Genomic DNA, 19,366 nt, shown 5'->3' with positions numbered 1-19,366 from the left:
GCACCTGCCACCATGCTTAGCTAATTTTTGTATTTTTAGTAGAGATGGGGTTTCGCCATGTTGGCCAGGCTGGTCTTGAACTTCTGACCTCAGGTGATCTGCCCTCTGCGGCCTCCCAAAGTGCCAGGGTGAAGGTGTGAGCCACCCCACCCAGCCTTCAAGAGATATTTGTATACCCATGTTCATAGCAGGATTATTCACAGTAGCTGACATGAAAGCAACCCAAGAATCCATTGACCACTGAACAGATCAGTGAAAATGGGAATGTACAACCAGAACCTGGGAATCCCGCCTCCCTCAACTTGAAACTTGGGAATAGCGTATTCTACTTTCAACACTTGCACTAGTGGAAGGTTAATTACATGAAAGATTAGGCAAAATGTGTGGTTAGGCGTTCTGGTTTTCCAATAAAAGTATTAAGTTTCTTTGGGGAAAGTACAGATAAAATGCTTAGCACAGAGCATGGTACCAACGGGAACTCAATGAGGGCGCAGCGGGTGTGTGGGAGCTTCGGGTTTCAGGAGCACAAGGCTGCGGTGCCTTCCCTCAGGGCCTCCTTCCCCAGCAGCAGCTGCTCAAGGACAAGTCACATGCACAGCCTGGCCTTGGCCTGCTGGGTTGGGGCAAAGGTCCCTGGGCTTCTGATCCTGCCCCTCTCCCAGCCAGCAGGACGTTCCCTCTGGTTCCTGAGTCCCAGGGATCCGCTGAGGCCCCTAGGAGGTGTCAGCTCCTGGTTTTGCCCAGGGTCTCAGTCAGGCCAGTCCTACCCGGAGATCTGAGCCAGGGACTCAGGTTCTTGCCTCCAGTGAGGCTGGGGGCTTCCCGCAGAGGCCAAGCCTGGCCCGGGGGCTGCAGGGAGGCCCTGGCTGCTGCATGGGCTGCAGATGGAGACTCTCTTGTCTGCTGTGCCTCAGGCTGCAGAGTCACAGAGGGGTCTTCCCAAGCCCCACACCTGGAGGGCAGGGAGGACAGGGACTTGTGGTCCTAACCCGACTCCTGACACATAAGGGCCAGCCGGCCCGGAGCCACCTCTGCGGGCAGGAGAAGGCCTCATTGTTCCCTTCTCCTGGCAGAATGAGGACTGGGGCGTGCCCGGGGCAGGAAATAAATGCTCAGTAAATCCCTCTCTTGGGAGCCCTGATCCCAAGGGACAAAGGGCCTGTGTTGAGTCTCCCTGGGCACGGGCTCGGGGCCAGCACTTGGGCCATGGCAGATGGAGGGTGGGAGGAGGGTGCCTCCCACCAGGTGGGCTTCTTCCCCAGGTCAGGCATGCAGGTGAGGAGCGTCCTCGTGTGTGCATGCCCCCTGCGTGCAGGAGAGGCTGGGCGGGTGTGTGTGTCTGGGTGTATGTGTGTGCATGCATCTTCAAGTGCACGTGTGTGAACGACCATGTGTGATCCCCGTTCTCGTGCCATCTGAACATCCCCTCCAGTGTGCATTTGGGTGAGTCCTGGCGCCCCTCTGGCCAGGCTGCTAACTATCCCTTCCACCAAGTCCCCTCAACCTCAGCTGGTGCTTCTGGAGTCCTGGCCCAAGTGACTCTCCTTCTGGGCGCCAAACCCTGTCAGCCTGGAGTTAGAAAGAAGGCCCCTGAACTGCCAGCAAAACATGGAAAGACAGGTCGGGTGCCATGGCTCAAGCCTGTAATCCCAGCACTTTGGGGAGCCGAGGCGGATGGATCACAAGTTCAGGAGTTCGAGACCAGCCTGGCCAACATGGTGAAATCCTGTCTCTACTAAAAGTACAAAAAATAGCTGGGCATGGTGGTGGGCACCTGTAATCTCAGCTACTCTGGAGGCTGAGGCAGGAGAATCATTTGAACCTGGGAGGCAGAGGTTGCGGTGAGCCGAGATCGCACCATTGCACTCCAGCCTGGGTGAGAGGGCGAGAGTCCGTGTTTAAAAAAAAAAAAAAAACAAAAAACAAAACAAAACAAAACATGGAAAGGTGCCCTTAGGCTGGGCTAGCGCGAGAACACAGCCCGCTTTGTGGCACCTCCAAGCTCCTGCCTCTGAGAGCTGTGCTGGCCAAGGGCTTGGCCTCTTCCACCTCCACCTCCCTGAAGGAGGCTCCTCCTGAGAGGGACTCCGCTGCCCACTCCCTGTGCCTGGCCCCTGCTATCCCTGAAAGTCAGAGGAATGCTGGACGGGTGGTGCAGAGGGGTGGGAGCTGGGTGGGTGGTGCAGAGGGATGGGAGCTGGGTGGGTGGTGCAGAAGGGTGGGAGCAGAGGTACAGTGGGGGCCTCATCTTGGCACATCAGTCAGTGGGAGCCCAGCTCTGACCAGCCCCTCCAGGGAGACGGTGCAGGCGTCACAACCAGAGCCAGGTGCCAAAACTAAAGTGAGGCTCTGCTCCCGCCCTGTCAGTCTCTGGCAACTTCTGTTTTGCTTTCTGTCCCTACGCTTTTGGCTGCTCTAAGTACTTCATATGTGTGAAATCACACGGTGTTCGTTTTTTGTGACTGGCTTATTTCACTGAGCACAGTGTCTTCATGGCTCATCCATATCGCTGTATGTGTCACAATTTCCTTCCTTTTTCTTTTTTTCTTTATTTTATTTTATTTTATTTTTTGAGACAGGGTCTCCCTCTATTGGCCAGGCTGGAGGGCAGTGGTGAGATCTTGGCTCTCTGCAGCCTCAGCATCCCAGGCTCAATGTAATCCTCTTACCTCATCCTCCCAAGTAGCTGGGACCACAGGTGCGGGCCACCACACCCAGCTACGTTTTTATTTTTACTTTTATTTTATTTTATTTTTTTTTTTTTTGAGACTAAGTCTCACTGTCGCCCGGGCTAATGTGCAGTGGGGCGATCTCGGCTCGCTGCAGCCTCTGCCTCCCGAGTTCAAGTGATTCTCCTGCCTCAGCCTCCCGAGTAGCTAGGACTATAGGCGTGTGCCACCACGTCCAGCTAATTTTTGTATTTTTAGTAGAGACGGGGTTTCACTATGTTGGCCAGGCTGGTCTCGAACTCCTGACCTTGTGATCCGCCCACCTCGGCCTCCCAAAGTGCTGGGATTACAGGCATGAGCCACCGCGCCCGGCCCATTTTTATTTTAAATTTTTTGTAGAGCAAAATGTTATCCAGGCTGGTCTTGAACTCCTGGCCTCCAGCGATCCTTCTGCCCTGGTCTCTCAAAGTGCTGGAATTACAGGTGCGGGCCACCCATCCATGGCCCCCCTAGTTCTCTTGTCCTCCTTCCCCTCACTAAGACAGCCAGAACAATGAATAAACAATATTTGTTTTTGTTTTTGTTTTTGTTTTTGAGACAGAGTTTTGCTCTTTTTGCCCAGGCTGGAGTGCAATGGCGTGATCTCAACTCACTGCAACCTCCGCCTCCCGGGTTCAAGCAATTCTCCTGCCTCAGCCTCCCAAGTAGCTGGGATTACAGGCACCTACCACCATGCCCCCTTTTTTTTTTTTTTTTTTTTTTTTGTATTTTTAGTAGAGACAGTTTCACCAGGTTGGCCAGGATGGTCTCGATCTCTTGACCTCATGATCTGCCCGCCTTGGCCTCCCAAAGTGCTGGGATTACAGGTGTGAGCCACCGCGCCTGGCCAACAATTAACTTTTAATGAAAATAACTGAGGAAGAGCACCAGAGTGCTTTAGAGGAGTAACAGAAACCTGGTGAGCAGAGAAACTCAGGATGGCCGCATGAAGAACAGAAGGAAACACTGGGCCTGCACCCCAGTCCTCAACCAGGATCAGCTGGGAATGAGGCAAGGAGGTAAGCAGGGGATCCCAGGAGCCCCACCAGCACCTTGGACACCTATAGCCCTCACCACTAGCGTCCCCTGTCCTCACAGGCACTAAGCCCAGGCAAGGGGGCTAACTGAGGCCGCACAGCTGAGCTCCCTGCAGAGGAGCCCACAGTGAGCCCATTTCCTGTGGTCACGTGGCTACCGCACTGCGCCAGCGGTGAATTGGAACTACAGCCAGAGCATATCTTGCCCTGGGATTGAGTAGCCACAGTTGCCCTTTATCCCTGAGACTAATCCACCACTGAACAACCTCAGCCTGGTGGCTTCACACCCCTAAACTGAGCCGTGAGCAGCGGTCACACCCTTGCTCCTGGGGCCAAGCAGTGGTGGAGGTGCTCCACCTAACCTTCCCCCTTCTCCGCTCAGGCCAGAGCTGAAGCCACAACCTGCCTCCCGGGAAAACAGCACCTTGGCTGCTCAGAGCTGAAGTTGGAGAAGCGTGCTGCATTCCAGGAAATGGTGCCAGGGCTACCCAGAATAGTCTCATTCCCCAGGCCTAAGCTAAAGCAGCCCACTTCCCCCAAGAGATCATTGCCCTGGCTGAGCTGAGCAGCTGTGAATCCAGGGGTTGACCTGATGTAGTAGCTCGCATCCCAGGGAAACATTGGCTCAGCAGTGGCTAAGCTGAGACACCCTGCTGTGGGCCATCTCCAGCTGAGACACCGCCCTCTGGGCCAGCTCCAGCACCTTGCCTCCCTGGATTAGCCTCCTAGAGATAGAGATAGTCTCCCTGCGCTGCTCCCTGCCTTCCCCTCGAATGTGCTGTTTCCTGCTACCTCCCTCCCCAACAGGACTGAAATGACAGCTGTGCTCTGCCACTCTGCCAGTGTATCTGGCTTCATGAAGTCGGGGATACTGCCAAGCCCTACCTTCTCGGGGTTCAGAGTCACTACTGCATGGAGCCTCAGCCCTTGAACCCTGAGTTACGCTGAGCCCCTGAACCGTGAGTTACGCTGAGCCCCTGAACCGTGAGTTACTTTGAGCCCCTGAACCCTGAGTTACGCTGAGCTCCTGAATCCTGAGTTACGCTGAGCCCCTGAACCCTGAGTTACGCTGAGCCCCTGAACCGTGAGTTACGCTGAGCCCCTGAACCGTGAGTTATGCTGAGCTCCTGAATCCTGAGTTACGCTGAGCCCCTGAACCGTGAGTTATGCTGAGCCCCTGAACCGTGAGTTATGCTGAGCTCCTGAATCCTGAGTTACGCTGAGCCCCTGAACCGTGAGTTATGCTGAGCCCCTGAACCGTGAGTTACGCTGAGCCCCTGAACCCTGAGTTACGCTGAGCTCCTGAACCCTGAGTTACGCTGAGCCCCTGAACCGTGAGTTATGCTGAGCTCCTGAATCCTGAGTTACGCTGAGCCCCTGAACCCTGAGTTACACTGAGCCCCTGAATCCTGAGTTACGCTGAGCCCCTGAATCCTGAGTTACGCTGAGCCCCTGAACCCTGAGTTATACTGAGCCCTATTGGCTCAGGCCCCGGAGTGGCAGCCATACCCTGATCCCCAGGTTTAAACATGAAGAGCACCACATCTTCCCCAGAGTTGGGTCATTGCTCTGCCCCCCACAGTAGAATCACAGCTACAACCCAGCCCCCTGGGCCTGACCTGCTAGAGAGTGCGTCAGAAGTACAGATCCTGGCTTTGTGGGCAACGCACATTCAACCCTGCCACAGAGAGTAAGCCTGCACCCAGTGACCCAGGCCTTGCCTCAATTTGTACGCCAGGCTCTGAGCCTAGGACCCCAGCCCCACAGCTACTCCAAGCACCTGCAAACGAAAGCCAGTGCCACTGCATTGTCTTGTGAGCCATATCAAGCTTGACACTAAAAGGTCCCCTTTGGCTGCATGTCCCCATTGTGGGGAAAATAAGAATAGGAGGATCCCAAAAGCCCTTGACATCAAGGACATTAACAACCACTGCCACAAATCTGTACAGCCTGGGCCTCAAGGCACCCACAGTTATTGCTGATGCTCAACACAGCTGAAGAGCTGCACCGAGACCATATCACTGCACCCATCTGGAAACACAGCCACCACACCCTTTCCAACCAGCACACTAAGACCCAACTGCAGGTAAAAGTCTATCTCTATGAAAGCCACTCTAGAAACTTTGGAAGAGGCGATTGTTCCACCAGGTGTACAGACATCGGTGCAAGGACACAAGAAACATGAAGCAGCAAGAAAATCTGGCATCAAAGGAACATAATTGTCTAGTAACAGAGCCCAGTGGAAAAGGAAATCAGTGAACTGTCAGAAATAAATTCAAAATAATGATCTTAAGAAAACTAAATGAGGCCGGGCATGGTGGCTTACGGCTGTACTTTGGGAGGCCAGGGGTGGGGGTGGATCACCTGAGGTCGGGAGTTCAAGACCAGCCTGACCAACATGGTGAAACCCCATCTCTACTAAATACAAAAAATTAGCCAGGCGTAGTGGCACATGCCTGTAATCCCAGCTACTCAGGAGGCTGAGGCAGGAGAATCGCTTGAACCCGGGAGGCGGAGGTTGCGGTGAGCCAAGATCATGCCATTGCACTGCAGCCTGGGCAACAAGAGTGAAACTCCATCTCAAGAAAGAAAAGAAAAGAAAACTAAATGAGATAAAAGAAAATGCAGACAGGCAATTCAACAAAATCAGGAAAACATATATTAATGAGAAATTCAACAAACAGATAAAAAACCATAACAAAGGAACAAGACAGAAAATTCTGCAGCTGAGAAATTCAATTCGTGAAGTAAAAAAATATAATGGCTTCAATAGTAGTCTTGTCAAGCAGAAGATTCTCTGAACTGGAAGACAGTTTGTTTCAAATTACCCAACTGGAGAAAAAAAAAAGGATTGGAAAGAAGAAAATCTGTAAGACTTAAGGGACTCCATTAAGCATAGGCATGTTTGTATTATGGGAGTTCCAGAGAGAGAAGAGTGAGGATAAAGCATAGAAAACCTACTTAATGAAAATTTCCCAAGTCTGGAGAGAGATATGGCCATCTAGACCCAAGAAGCTCAAAGTATCCCAAATATATTAAACCCAAAAAGGTCCTCTCTGAGGCAAATCAAAGTCAAATTGTCAAAACTCAAAGACAAAGTGAGAATTCTAAAAACAGCAAGAGGAAAGTGTCAAGTCACATATGAAGGAATCTCCATTAGACAAACAGCAGATTTCTGTACAGAAACCTTTGAAGCCAGGAGAGGAGTGATATAGTCGAAGTGCTGAAAGGAGAAAGTTATTAGCCAAACCTATCTTTCAGAAATGAGGGAGAAGTAAAGTCTTTTCCAGACAAACAGAAACTGAGGGAATTAATCGCTACTAGACTGACTAGTCTTGCAAGAAATGCTGAAGGGAGTCCTACATCTGGAAGCAAAAAGGTGGTAATCACTAACTTGAAAACACGTAAAAGTATAAAACTCACTGGTAGAGCAGATATATAAAAGGGAAAGAGAAAAGAATTAAACATCACTACTGAAAACCACCAAACTGCAATGATAACAAGAAGAGAGGAACAAAGGATGTATAACCAGAAAACAATTAACAAAATGGGCCGGGCGTGGTGGCTCACACCTGTAATCCCAGCACTGTGGGAGGCCAAAGCGGGTGGATCACCTGAGGTCAGGAGTTCGAGACTAGACTGGCCAACATGGTGAAACTGCATCTCTACTAAAAATACAAAAATTAGCCAGGTGTGGTGGCACAGGCCTGTAGTTCCAGCTACTTGGGAGGCTGAGGGAGGAGAATCGCTTGAACCGGGAGGTGGAGGTTGCAGTGAGCCGAAATGGTGTCACTGCATTCCAGCCTGGGCAACAGAGTGAGACTCTGTCTCAAAAAAATAAATAAATAAATAAAATGAAGGAAATAGTCCTTACCTATCAATAACAACCTTAAAAGTAAATGGATTAAATTCAAACCCAGGCAGGCAGGCACTGGGAGCCATATTGTTGGGGCCTCACGGGGGAGCAGCCTCAGGGTGAGGAAGAAGTAAGTTAATGCAGGCTCAGCCCTCGCAATAGAGCCTGGCCCCGCAGATGCTGCTGTCATTATTTTACCCTTGGTTTCAGGGTGGAGACACCCAGGTTCCTTCCCACCTCAGGGCCCTGGCACATGCTGTTCCTTCTGCTTGCTCCCCGTCCCACCGTCTGTGTTTGGTCGTCTCTTGCTCTTCCTTGAGGTGACCCAGCCTAACTATCTCTTCCTGACCACAGACCATATTGATGCACCGGTGATATGGTTTGGATGTCTGTCCCCTCCAAATCTCATGTGAAATGGGAGCCTCACTGTTGGAGGTGGGCCTGGTGGGAGGTGTTAGGGTCATGGGGGTGGGTCCCTCGTGAATGGCTTGGTGCCCTCCCTGCAGTAATGAGTGAGTTCCTGCTCTGTTAGTTCATGTGAGAGCTGGTTGTTTGGCATCTCTCTCGCTACTGCTCTTGCCATGGGACACATGTGCTCCTGCTTCACCTTCCGCCATGAGTGGAAGCTTCTTGAGGCCTCACCATGTTGGTGCCATGCTTCTTGCACAGCCTGCAGAACCATGAGCCAAATAAACCCCTTCTCTGTATAAATTACCCAGCCTCAGGTATTCCTTTATAGCAACGTAAGAATTCACTAAGACACCCCCGAAATCTCCAGATCCCTCCCTGCCCGTCACCCTTGGTGTCTATTCATTCGATGCCTGGAGGTGTAGCCTCTGTCTCCTGTGGCCTGGGGGTGGGGGTCCTGGGCAGGGCAGATGCCAACATCCCAACAGGGCTTGGCCATGGCAGCAAGAGCTCTGAGTCCTCTGGGCTCTGACTGTCCCCCCACCCATGTGGATTTCCTACCCAAGATCCAAACCTGCCTGCCCATTCCCCACATTCCTCTGCTCCTTTCACAGGCAGCCGCTACACCTTGTCCTTATTCCATCACCCCACCCCGAGGTGCTCCAGCTCCACTCTCCTTCCAGTTGGCTCCTCCAATCCCAGAGCTACTCTTAGTCCCCACCTTTCCTCTTGCCTTGCCAGCATATGGCAATGGAACCCTGAGGCCCTGCTGACACCCACAATGGGCCACTTTGGGCTGTGGACATCACCTTTTATCTCTGAAGTCATTCCCTCTGGTGAAAGTCCATCTCTAGGCCGGGCACAGTGGCTCACACCTGTAATCCCAGCACTTTGGGAGGCCAAAGTGAGAGGATCATGAGGTCAGGAGTTCGAGACCAGTCTGGCCAACATAGTAAAACCCCATCTCTACTAAAAAAAAAAAAAATACAAAAAAATTAGCCAGGTGTTGTGGTGTGCACCTGTAATCCCAGCTACTTGGGAGGCTGAGGCAGGAGAACCCTGGAGGTGGAGGCTGCAGTGAGCCGAGATCATGCCACTACACTCCAGCCCAGGCAACAGTGTGAGACTCCATCTCAAAAAAGAAAAAAATGTCCGTCTCTACTTTACTTGTTCAACTCCGCTGGAATGTCCCTAGACCTATAGGAAAACAGTCTTTTGTATGGCAAGAGTGACGCCATCTTGAAGTGAAAACCCCATGATGACCATGTTTCGCTCCAGCATACCAAGCTGTCCCTGTCACACAGATAACTCCTCATAAAGATGCCTCTCTAATCTCCCCAGTGGTCAAGATTTTGCTGGAATGTCTGAGGCATAACCAATTGCACTTGTTTTACCAAAAAAAAAAATTCTTGTGATATAAAGAATACTTTCTGCAGGGTGTGGAGATCCACCATCCCATGGACAACCAATACATCACTTCAGTTTGTAAGTTCCTATTAAATGTTTATTCCTTAGACACTGGATTTGTCAGCCTCTTTCTTTGTCCTGTTGGCTCCCTTGGCCTTTGAGGATAGGTTTGCATAGACCTGCTCACCTGCAGAACACCCTCAAACTTAGAAAGGGCCGCTGGACTCACCTCCTGTCCCTCAGAACCAGCTACATCCACTCCAGTCCTACCTTTGAATCTGCTCACCCTTTTCCAGTCTCAGTATTCTTCTATCTGGATAGGCCAGGTCTCCTCAGCAGGAAGACCCTCCCCTGACCCCAACGCATGCACAGGGTAGGAGGATAGCACGTCCACTGTATCATGACACTCCCTCTACAATTTGGCAGGACTGGCAATTCCGCCTGCTAATAGGTCAGCCCCCCACTGGTGAGTGATGTGGTCCTGAAGGGTGGGAGGACATCGTAGGCAGGGACCACCTGTGACTGCCCACCCTCCATGGTTTGAGGAACCAGAGCCCCTCTACAGCCTTCCTCCGGAGGCTAATGGTGAGCAGGGAGAGTTTGCTTCAAGTGGTTGCATTTTCAAAGGAGCAGGGGCTGTGGGGTGGGGATGGGATCAGGGGCTGCCTAGGCCAGAGCTTCTTGTACCTTCTTGTGCTCACAGCATTTTTGGATCTTGGCAAAATGCAGATCGCTTTCCCAGTTCAGGGAGTCTGCAGCATTTACCTTGTTGGACTGGTTCCTTGGCCAAGCTGATGCTGGGGTCAGGAACCTCAAGGCAGGGGAAGACATACCCCCCTCCCCCATGCCAGCCACCTTATGGTGCTGCTACAGCAGCTGCCTGGGTGCCCACAGCCTCACCTAGGGGCTGCTAGAGCTCTGGGGCATCATACCATGCCCCAAGGACCTCCCTCAACTTGTGGCATCAGGGGGAAGAGAGAAACACTCGCTCCTGGTGTCCTTGTCCTCAGTGGGCCAATGCTGAAGCCCCCACAGGATTGTGGCCCAATTTCTCCCAGTTTGAGCAAATTCATTGGCATTTGTGCCTTTCCTGCCTTGGTTTCTCCACTTTCTCATCTTTGCTTCCTGGGATCACCTTCCAGATAAACTACCGCACCCATGTCCTGGTTTTAGGTCAACCATTGGAGTGACCAAAATAAGATCAGGAACATCTGGCATTTGTGTGATTGGGAACCCTAGGATGGGAGCACTGGGAGCATTTCCTCCATGGCACCCCCAATCCATGTCTTCCCACCCCTCTGACACACTGAAGTACTACTGCTCTTCCATCAATTATCTTTCCGATGGAAATAACCAGAGGGTGCTGCTGTTCGCAACAAAAACCTGGATAACAATTTAGGAGTTCAGGTGGGGTCTTGGCCTGGACTGGACATGAGTGAAGAGGAGGGAGTTGTCCACGAAACCCCTTAGGTCCACAGAAAGCTCTGTAAGGCATCAGCTTGAACATGCACACGTATTTATTAGCAAACGAGACAAAAGGGGCCGGAATCTGATCCAGCAGGCAGTCCCAACCCTGTCCCTGAAGCGCCCACAGCCCAGAGGAGGTGAGCCAATACTGTGGTCCCCACTGCAGCCTCACAGTTTCTGGTGCACTCAGAATGGCTGCAGGAGTCAGGGAGCCCACAGCAGGGCAAGGAGCAGCAACAGCTGGGAGGGGTTTGGCCTGGGTGTACTGTGGGACATCACCCTCCGGATCCAGTGGAAGTACACACTGATGTTGGTGTAGACACCAGGCCGATTGGGTTGACCGCAGTCCATTCCCCAGCTCACGATTCCAACCTGATACCACAGTCCATCCTTGTCACAGACCAAGGGTCCACCTGAGTCACCCTGGGGAGCAGCATGGGTGAGCCCAGGCTGGGGCAGAGTGGGTGGGGCAGCAGAGGCCATGAGAGCAGGAGGGGCTGTGGGGCTAGGCAGACTGAATGCAAACCTTACTCCTTCCCATGGAATCAAGTCTCAGTTTCTACACTTTCAAAGTGGGGCAACAGCCTCCAGGGGTTGGTGGGTTAATCAGTGTAGGCAGAATTTATGAAAAATGAGAAGCATATTTTGTAGGCTCAGTAACTGAGACTGCACTGGTTTTCTCCTAAGAAATCTAAGCAATGGGTTGGGAGTGGTTGGGGGAGAAATGGTAGCTGCTCTCAGGTGTAGAGCTGGAGAGGGTGGGATTCCCTGGTGGGGTAGAGGCACTCACTTTGCAGGTGTCTACACTGCCATCCTCAGCACCAGCACAAAACATGGAATCCCAGATCATACTACGGCTAGAGGGCTGTTCAAACAGGTAATTACACCTGGTGTTGTTTAAGATGGTGACCTGTGCTTCCCGGAGGTTGTAAGGAGGTGGCAGAGGTGCTGGAGATAGGACAGAAAAGGACAGCACCCTTCACCTCTCCTCTGCTATCTGGAGCAGGGAGAGGAGAAAGGGCATGTGTTATAGGGGTGGGGAGAAGGTCCCTGACACACCCACAACACCCAGCATTGCTCTTGACTCCCCAGCACCCAGTGCATCAAAAGCAATCAACAATATCACAGAATAACCCAATAGATGGGCCAGGCTGTTGCAGTGCTTCCTGAAACTCGGTTTCTCTATCTGTAGAATGGAGATGATAGCCCCTGCCTGAGTCCGCGGAGAAATTTCTCAACCAAAGCATGGCAGGAAGAAGGGCTACAGTAGATGAGAATGTTTATGATTAACACATGACAGCTGTGGGATCCAGGTCAAAACTTGCCATATTTGATGAAAGACATGAACCCACAGATTCAAGAAGCTGAGCAAATTCCACAGGATAAACACAAAGAGATTTACACTGAGACACATTATAATAAAACTAACAAAAGATAAAGGGAGAGTCTTATGAACATGGAGAGAGAAGTGATACATCAAGGACAAGGGATCCTCAGCAAGATTAACAGAAACAGTCAACCAAGAATTTTATATCAGGAAAAAAATGAAGAAGAAATTAAGACATTCTCAGATAACCAAAAGCTGAGAAGATTTGTCATTAGTTGACCTATCCTACAAGAAGTGGATAAAGGAATCCTTCCAGTTAAAATGAAAGAACACTAGAGAGTAACTCAAAGTCATACAAACAAAGAGCCCTGGTCAAGACAACTACATAGGTAAATATAAAAGTCAGTATTATTGTAGTTTTGGTGTGTAACTCCTCTTTTTCTTATGTAATTTAAATGACAAATACATAAAACAATAATTATAAATCTAGGTTAAAGGTTACACAATGAACAAAGATGTAAATTGTGACAATAACAACATAAAGTGGAGGAATGGAGCCATATAGGAACAGAGATTTTTTTTAATACTGTTGAAGCTAAGTTAGTATAAATTCAAAGTAGGTTATTATAAGGTTTAGATGTTAATTGTAATCCCTAGAGCAACCACTAACAAAGCAAAATAAACACGGAGAAGGAAATGAGAAGGGAATCAATATGGTACTCTAAAACAATCAGTTAAACAAAAATGAGGAAATAAGAAACAAAAGAAATAAAAAATATCAGCATGGAAAAAAGATATGATGAGATCTAAAAACCAAGTAACAAAATGGCAGAAGTCATTCTTTGCAGATCTGTAATCAATTACTCTTAATGTAAAGGGCTTGAATGCTCCAAATAAAAAGCAGAGACTGATAAAATCGCTTTTAAAAAAATCACTGGATCCAGATAGGTGCTCCTTATAAGAGAGTCACTTTAGATCCAGTGAAACACACAGGCTGAAAGTGAAAGGTTGGGAAAAATTTCCATAAAAATAGTAACCAAAAGAGAGCTGAGGTTACTATACTCTATCAGACAAAATAGAATTTAATACAAACTTGTTATAAGAGTCCAAGAACGTCCCTCTCCCTCTCCCTCTCCCTCTCCCTCTCCCCACGGTCTCCCTCTCATGCGGAGCCGAAGCTGGACTGTACTGCTGCCATCTCGGCTCACTGCAACCTCCCTGCCTGATTCTCCTGCCTCAGCCTGCCGAGTGCCTGCGATTGCAGGCATGCGCCGCCATGCCTGACTGGTTTTGGTGGAGACGGGGTTTCGCTGTGTTGGCCGGGCCGGTCTCCAGCCCCTAACCGCGAGTGATCCGCCAGCCTCGGCCTCCCGAGGTGCCGGGATTGCAGACGGAGTCTGGTTCACTCAGTGCTCAATGGTGCCCAGGCTGGAGTGCAGTGGCGTGATCTCGGCTCGCTACAACCTACACCTCCCAGCCGCCTGCCTTGGCCTCCCAAAGTGCCGAGATTGCAGCCTCTGCCCGGCCGCCATCCCGTCTGGGAAGTGAGGAGTGTCTCTGCCTGGCCGCCCATCGTCTGGGATGTGAGGAGCCCCTCTGCCTGGCTGCCCAGTCTGGAAAGTGAGGAGCGTCTCCGCCCGGCCGCCATCCCATCTAGGAAGTGAGGAGCGCCTCTTCCTGGCCGCCATCACATCTAGGAAGTGAGGAGCGTCTCTGCCCGGCCGCCCATCGTCTGAGATGTGGGGAGCGCCTCTGCCCCGCCGCCCCATCTGGGATGTGAGGAGCGCCTCTGCCCGGCCGCGACCCTGTCTGGGAGGTGAGGAGCGTCTCTGCCCGGCCACCCCGTCTGAGAAGTGAGGAGACCCTCTGCCTGGCAACCACTCCGTCTGAGAAGTGAGGAGCCTCTCCGCCCGGCAGCCACCCCATCTGGGAAGTGAGGAGCATCTCCGCCCGGCAGCCACCCCGTCCGGGAGGGAGGTGGGGGGGGTCAGCCCCACGCCCGGCCAGCCGCCCCGTCCGGGAGGGAGGTGGGGGGGTCAGCCCCCCGCCCGGCCAGCCGCCCCGTCCGGGAGGTGAGGGGCGCCTCTGCCCGGCCGCCCCTACTGGGAAGTGAGGAGCCCCTCTGCCCGGCCACCACCCCGTCTGGGAGGTGTGCCCAACAGCTCATTGAGAACAGGCCATGATGACAATGGCGGTTTTGTGGAATAGAAAGCGGGGAAAGGTGGGGAAAAGATTGAGAAATCGGATGGTTGCCGTGTCTGTGTAGAAAGAGGTAGACATGGGAGACTTTTCATTTTGTTCTGCACTAAGAAAAATTCTTCTGCCTTGGGATCCTGTTGATCTGTGACCTTACCCCCAACCCTGTGCTCTCTGAAACATGTGCTGTGTCCACTCAGGGTTAAATGGATTAAGGGCGGTGCAAGATGTGCTTTGTTAAACAGATGCTTGAAGGCAGCATGCTCGTTAAGAGTCATTACCAATCCCTAATCTCAAGTAATCAGGGACACAAACACTGCGGAAGGCCGCAGGGTCCTCTGCCTAGGAAAACCAGAGACCTTTGTTCACTTGTTTATCTGCTGACCTTCCCTCCACTATTGTCCCATGACCCTGCCAAATCCCCCTCTGTGAGAAACACCCAAGAATTATCAATAAAAAAAAAATTAAAAAAAAAAATAAGAGTCCAAGAACAACATTACATATTGATAAAACAATCAAATCATCAAGAAAATATACCAATCATAAATATCTTCATACCTAACAACAGATCGCCAAAACATATAAAGCAAAATTGACAGAATTGGTGGGAGAAATAGACAGTTCTACAACAATAGTTGGAGATGTTAATAGCTCACTATTAATAATTGATAAAACGGCTGGGCACCGTGGCTCACACCTGTAATCCCCGAACTTTGGGAGGCCGAGGTGGGTAGTTCACCTGAGGTCAGGAGTTCGAGACCAGCCTAGCCAACATAGTGAAACCCCTTATTGATACATCCCACAAAATGAACCTTGGAGACACTATGTTATATGAAAGAATCTAGACCCCTAAAAATCATATGTTGTATGTTCCATGTGTATGGAATAGAAAAAAAGCTCATAGAAAAAGGATATAAAGAAAGAAAATATTTTCATATAGCTATACAATGTGTTTGTGTCTTAAGGTAGCTGCTATTACAAAACAGTAAAAAAGTTAAAATAGCTATAATTTTTATAAAGTAAAAAGTTTACAGTAAGCTAAGTTCCACTTGCTATTAAAGAAAGAAAAGGTTTTTGGGTAAATTTAGTGTAGCCTCAGTATACAGTGTTTATAAAGTCTACAGTAGTGTACAGTCATGTCCTAGACCTTCACATTCACTCACCATTCGTTCACTTACCAACAGCCACTTCTAGTCCAGCCAGCTCCACTAATGGTAAGTGCCTAGGGCACAGGTATACTGTTTTTTATCTTTTTTTTTTTTTTTTTTTTTGAGATGGAGTCTTGCTCTGTCACCCAGGCTGGAATGCAGTGGTGCCATCTCGGCTCGCTGAAACCTCTGCCCCTCACGGGTTCAAGCGATTCTCCTGCCTCAGCCTCCCAAGGAGCTGAGATTACAGGCACCCGCCCCCACACCCAGCTAATTTTTGTATTTTTAGTAGAGACGGGGTTTCACCATATTGGTCAGGCTGGTCTCGAACTCCTGACCTCAGGTGATTCACCTGCCTCGGCCTCCCAAAGTGCTGGGATTATAGGCTCATGCGCCTGGCCTGGTTTTTATCTTTTATGCCATATCTTTACTGTGCCTCTTCTCTGTTTAGATATGTTTAAGTACATAAGTACTTACCAGTGTGTTACAACTGCTCTGGTATTTAGTGCAGTAACAAGCTGCACAGGTTTGTGGCCCAGGAGCAATGGGCTAGACCACACAGTCTGGGTGTGTAGCAGGCTCTGCCATCTGGGTTTGTGTAACTACACTCCATGATGTTGACACAATGATGAAAGTGCCTCATGATGCATATCTCAGAACATATCCCGGTCATTAAGTGACACATGACTGTAGGCTACAAATCACTGAATTGTGTCCTTCAACACTGAACACTTGAAAATTTTATGGTTTGTGAGTTGCCTCAATTTTTAAAAATCATTGCCTGAGGCTTCTGTCACCAGGTCCTCCCGAACTCCCCCTCACTCCTTCAGGCCCAGGCCAAGCTGGCCTCCCTCTCACACTGTCCTGCTGGCCCCCACAGTCCCTGGAAGGGGGAAGAACTGGGTGTTTGGTCCCTGCCCTGACAGGTGGCAGTGAGAGCAGAAAAGCAAGTGAGGAGAGAATGAGAGCAGGAGGGGCGCAGGTTGCAGCCCCAGACCAAGGAGGGGGCTGCTGTGCTTGTGTAGCGGGAACAGGGGTAGAGGGTAATGCTCACCCCGCACCCCCATCACCCCACCCGGTCTATCCCCAGCCTCACTGCCACTGGGGCTGATTAACCCCCAGCCGGTCACCCAGCAGTCCGGCCGGTGCACGAAGTTGAAGGTGGAAGACTCGATGCAAATGGGCTGGATGTACGCATTGTAGGTGACAGAAGAGGCCAGTCTCAGCAGGGCAATGTCATTGCGTAAAACCCCAAGTGCGTCAGGGTTCACAATGATGTCCTGCACTTTGTAACGACTGCTGTAGGCCCGCAGGTTCCAAGGAGTTGGCCTGGAAGTCAGCTCGCCCAGCTGGACCGTCCACTCGGAGGGATAGTAGTGCCTAGCAGAAAAGGAGAGAGGGCGGGGAGCCTTGGAATAGGGGGCTGGCCGCCTGAGCACGCTGGAGGCCCAGTCCCTGAGGCCAAGCTGCTGGGTGGCTACTGTTTGCTCATCCTGGAGGCCATTAGCAAGTCTGAGGCCCCGGCCGCCCCCCAGACTCACTTTTGGAAGCAGTGCGCAGCCGAGAGCACCCAGCGGCGGCTGAGCAGGCTCCCTCCACATCGGTGGCGTCTCCTCAGGCGCAGGCTGGCCTGCCATGGCCAGCGCCCGCGCGCGGACTCCACTCCGCCCGCCACCAGCGCGTGAATTTCCCGGTGGCCGCAGGCCTCTGGGATGGACAGACGGACGCGGCTGAGCTGCCGGGTGGGGTGGGGTGGGCAGGCCCGCCCTGCCCGGCTTTGCCCCGGGGTGCGCGCAGCGGGGGGCTCCCCGGGGAACCGCGCGCCAAGAAGGTGACGCTAGGGACCCTCCCACGTGGTGGGCAGTGGACGGTCCCACCCCTAGGACCCATTAGTTACTTGAGAGCATCACGTTCTCGGGACCTGGAACAGAGAGCAGTAGATGGGCCCCCGTGCACCCCGGCCCAGCCGCCCTGGCTGGCATCGCGCGTCCTGGGCGCCCTACCTGACAACAGCTCCTCCTCCTGCGACTCTGCAGGACACAAGAAGTGACCCTCGCGGCCTCCACCTCCCGGCCTCCTCGCTGCCCCCGGTCCCGCCTGTAGCGCCCCGAGCTCACCCGGCTTCCCGAGTCCAGCCCGAGCCAGCAGCAGCGCCAGCAGCAGCGCCCCGCGCGCGCCCATGGCCTCCTCTCCCGCGGCCTGGCGCGCCCTCTGCCTCCTCTCGCGCCGGACCGGGGTCGCCCCCTGGGGGCAGGGCGGGTTGGGAGCTCCAGCTTAATCCTCCCAAACCAGGCCCAAGGGCTGTTTGGGGCCTCTCAGGCCTGGTAGCGCCCTGGCTTTCAGCTCCTAAGGGCGGGTCTTCAACCACATTCCTTGATGTGGCCCAGACCCGGTGGACCCCACAGTCCTTTTCTTGTCTGCAGCCCGGGGGTCCTGGCTGCCCGCTTGGTGCCCCCTGCCCTCCACCCACCACCTCCTCCAGCACCAGGGGCCTGGCCCTGAGCCAGGAGTCCCCTTAAAGCAGGTAGGCAAGGCCTTCCTGAGGGCCCGGTGGGGCCTGGAAGATCGCGCCACTGCACTCCAGCCTGGGCGACAGAGCAAGACTCCTTCTCAAAAAAAAAAAAAAAAAAAAAATTAGCTGAGGATGGTGGCACACACCTGAAGTCCCAGCTACTTGGGAGGCTGAGGCAGGAGACTCACTCGAGACTGGGAGATAGAGGCTGCAATGAGCTGCGATAATGCCAGTGCACTCTAGTCTAGGCGACAGATCAAGATATTGGAAAAAAAAAAGAAAGAAAGAAAAGAAAAAGAAAGAAGAAGAAAGAAAGAAAGAGAAAAAGAAAGAAAGACAAGACCTTAACACAGTAAAGTCCACAGCTAAAATCATACTCGATGAAAAAGTGAAAGCTTTTCCTCTAAGATCAGGAACAAGGCAAGGATGCCCAGTTTTACCAATGCCATGCAACATTGTACTGAAACTTCTAGCCAGAATAATTAGACAAAAAAAAAAAGACGTGAGAATCAGAAAGGAAGAAGTAAAATACTTCCATTTGCAGATGACATCTTGTTTGTAGAAGTCTCTAAAGATTTCACACAAGGCCGGGCGTGGTGGCTCACGCCTGTAATCCCAACACTTTGGGAGGCTGAGGTGGGCAGATCACGAGGTCAGGAGATCGAGACCATCCTAGCTAACACGGTGAAACCCCGTCTCTACTAAAAATACAAAAAATTAGCCAGGCGTGGTGGCGGGCACCTGTAGTCCCAGCTACTCGGGAGGCTGAGGCTGAGGCAGGAGAATGGCGTGAACCCAGGAGGCGGAGCTTGCAGTGAGCCGAGATCGCGCCACTGCACTCTAGCCTGGGCGACAGAGCGAGACTCATCTCAAAAAAAAAAAAAAAAAAAAAAGATTTCACACAAAAAAACTGTTAGAACTAATAAATTCAGCAGTTGCAGGATACAAAATTAACACTCAGAAATCAGCTGTGTTTCTATATACTAGCAATGAACAATCCAAAAATGAAATTAAGAAAACCGTCCCAGCCGGGTGTGGTGGCTCACGCCTGTAATCCCAGCACTTTGGGAGGTCGAGGCGGGTGGATCACGAGGTCAGGAGTGTGAGACCAGCCTGGCCAAGATGGTGACACCCTGTCTCTACTGAAAATACAAAAATTAGTCGGGCATGGTGGCGCGTGCCTGTAACCCCAGCTACTCAGGAGGCTGAGGCAGAGAACTGCTTGAACCCGGGAGGCGGAGGTTGTAGTGAGCTGAGATCACGCCACTGCACTCCAACCTGGGCAAAAGAGCGAGACTCC

General features: G+C 51.7%; 1 protein-coding gene across 4 annotated transcripts, besides 4 other annotated features; it reads right to left on the bottom strand.

Moving 5' to 3' along the window:
• Positions 781 to 1,281: an enhancer, noted in NCBI's record as "H3K4me1 hESC enhancer chr16:2864940-2865440 (GRCh37/hg19 assembly coordinates)". NCBI's record gives its function as "activates a minimal SCP1, AML or CMV promoter by ChIP-STARR-seq in naive and primed H9 embryonic stem cells {active_cell/tissue: H9 hESC(naive and primed)}" and the evidence as "EXISTENCE:reporter gene assay evidence [ECO:0000049][PMID:30033119]".
• Positions 3,424 to 4,153: an enhancer, noted in NCBI's record as "H3K27ac-H3K4me1 hESC enhancer chr16:2862068-2862797 (GRCh37/hg19 assembly coordinates)". NCBI's record gives its function as "activates a minimal SCP1, AML or CMV promoter by ChIP-STARR-seq in primed H9 embryonic stem cells {active_cell/tissue: H9 hESC(primed)}" and the evidence as "EXISTENCE:reporter gene assay evidence [ECO:0000049][PMID:30033119]".
• Positions 4,154 to 4,884: an enhancer, noted in NCBI's record as "H3K27ac-H3K4me1 hESC enhancer chr16:2861337-2862067 (GRCh37/hg19 assembly coordinates)". NCBI's record gives its function as "activates a minimal SCP1, AML or CMV promoter by ChIP-STARR-seq in primed H9 embryonic stem cells {active_cell/tissue: H9 hESC(primed)}" and the evidence as "EXISTENCE:reporter gene assay evidence [ECO:0000049][PMID:30033119]".
• On the bottom strand, positions 10,916 to 17,750 carry PRSS41 (serine protease 41). Of its 4 annotated transcripts, NM_001395501.1 has the most exons (6): positions 17,672 to 17,750; positions 17,558 to 17,584; positions 17,096 to 17,261; positions 16,651 to 16,934; positions 11,674 to 11,831; positions 10,916 to 11,306 (listed from the first exon to the last, which is right to left on the bottom strand). In NM_001395501.1, the coding sequence occupies exons 1-6, from the start codon at positions 17,733 to 17,735 to the stop codon at positions 11,088 to 11,090; spliced, it is 918 nt and encodes a 305-aa protein (NP_001382430.1). In that variant the 5' UTR covers positions 17,736 to 17,750; the 3' UTR covers positions 10,916 to 11,087. The 4 variants fall into 4 exon arrangements, with proteins under 4 accessions (NP_001382430.1, NP_001382429.1, NP_001341515.2 ...); NM_001395500.1 differs by having other exon boundaries at positions 17,558 to 17,750; NM_001354586.3 differs by lacking the exon at positions 17,558 to 17,584 and having other exon boundaries at positions 17,606 to 17,750.
• Positions 12,997 to 13,959: an enhancer, noted in NCBI's record as "H3K27ac-H3K4me1 hESC enhancer chr16:2852262-2853224 (GRCh37/hg19 assembly coordinates)". NCBI's record gives its function as "activates a minimal SCP1, AML or CMV promoter by ChIP-STARR-seq in naive H9 embryonic stem cells {active_cell/tissue: H9 hESC(naive)}" and the evidence as "EXISTENCE:reporter gene assay evidence [ECO:0000049][PMID:30033119]".
• Positions 17,751 to 19,366: the final 1,616 nt, after the last annotated feature.

Source organism: Homo sapiens, chromosome 16 (assembly GCF_000001405.40).
Source record: "Homo sapiens chromosome 16, GRCh38.p14 Primary Assembly".
NCBI classification, from domain to species: Eukaryota; Metazoa; Chordata; class Mammalia; order Primates; family Hominidae; genus Homo; species Homo sapiens.
This window is presented reverse-complemented; position numbering and strand designations above follow the sequence as displayed.

Coding starts and splice junctions, on each gene's coding strand:
- PRSS41 (NM_001395500.1), bottom strand. CDS start 17,735: ATGGGCGCGCGCGGGGCGCTGCTGCTGGCGCTGCTGCTGGCTCGGGCT. Junction 11,832..16,650: donor GTTAATCAGCCCCAGTGGCA/GTGAGGCTGGGG, acceptor TCCTATCTCCAG/CACCTCTGCCACCTCCTTAC. Junction 11,307..11,673: donor GCAGTGTAGACACCTGCAAA/GTGAGTGCCTCT, acceptor GCTGCTCCCCAG/GGTGACTCAGGTGGACCCTT.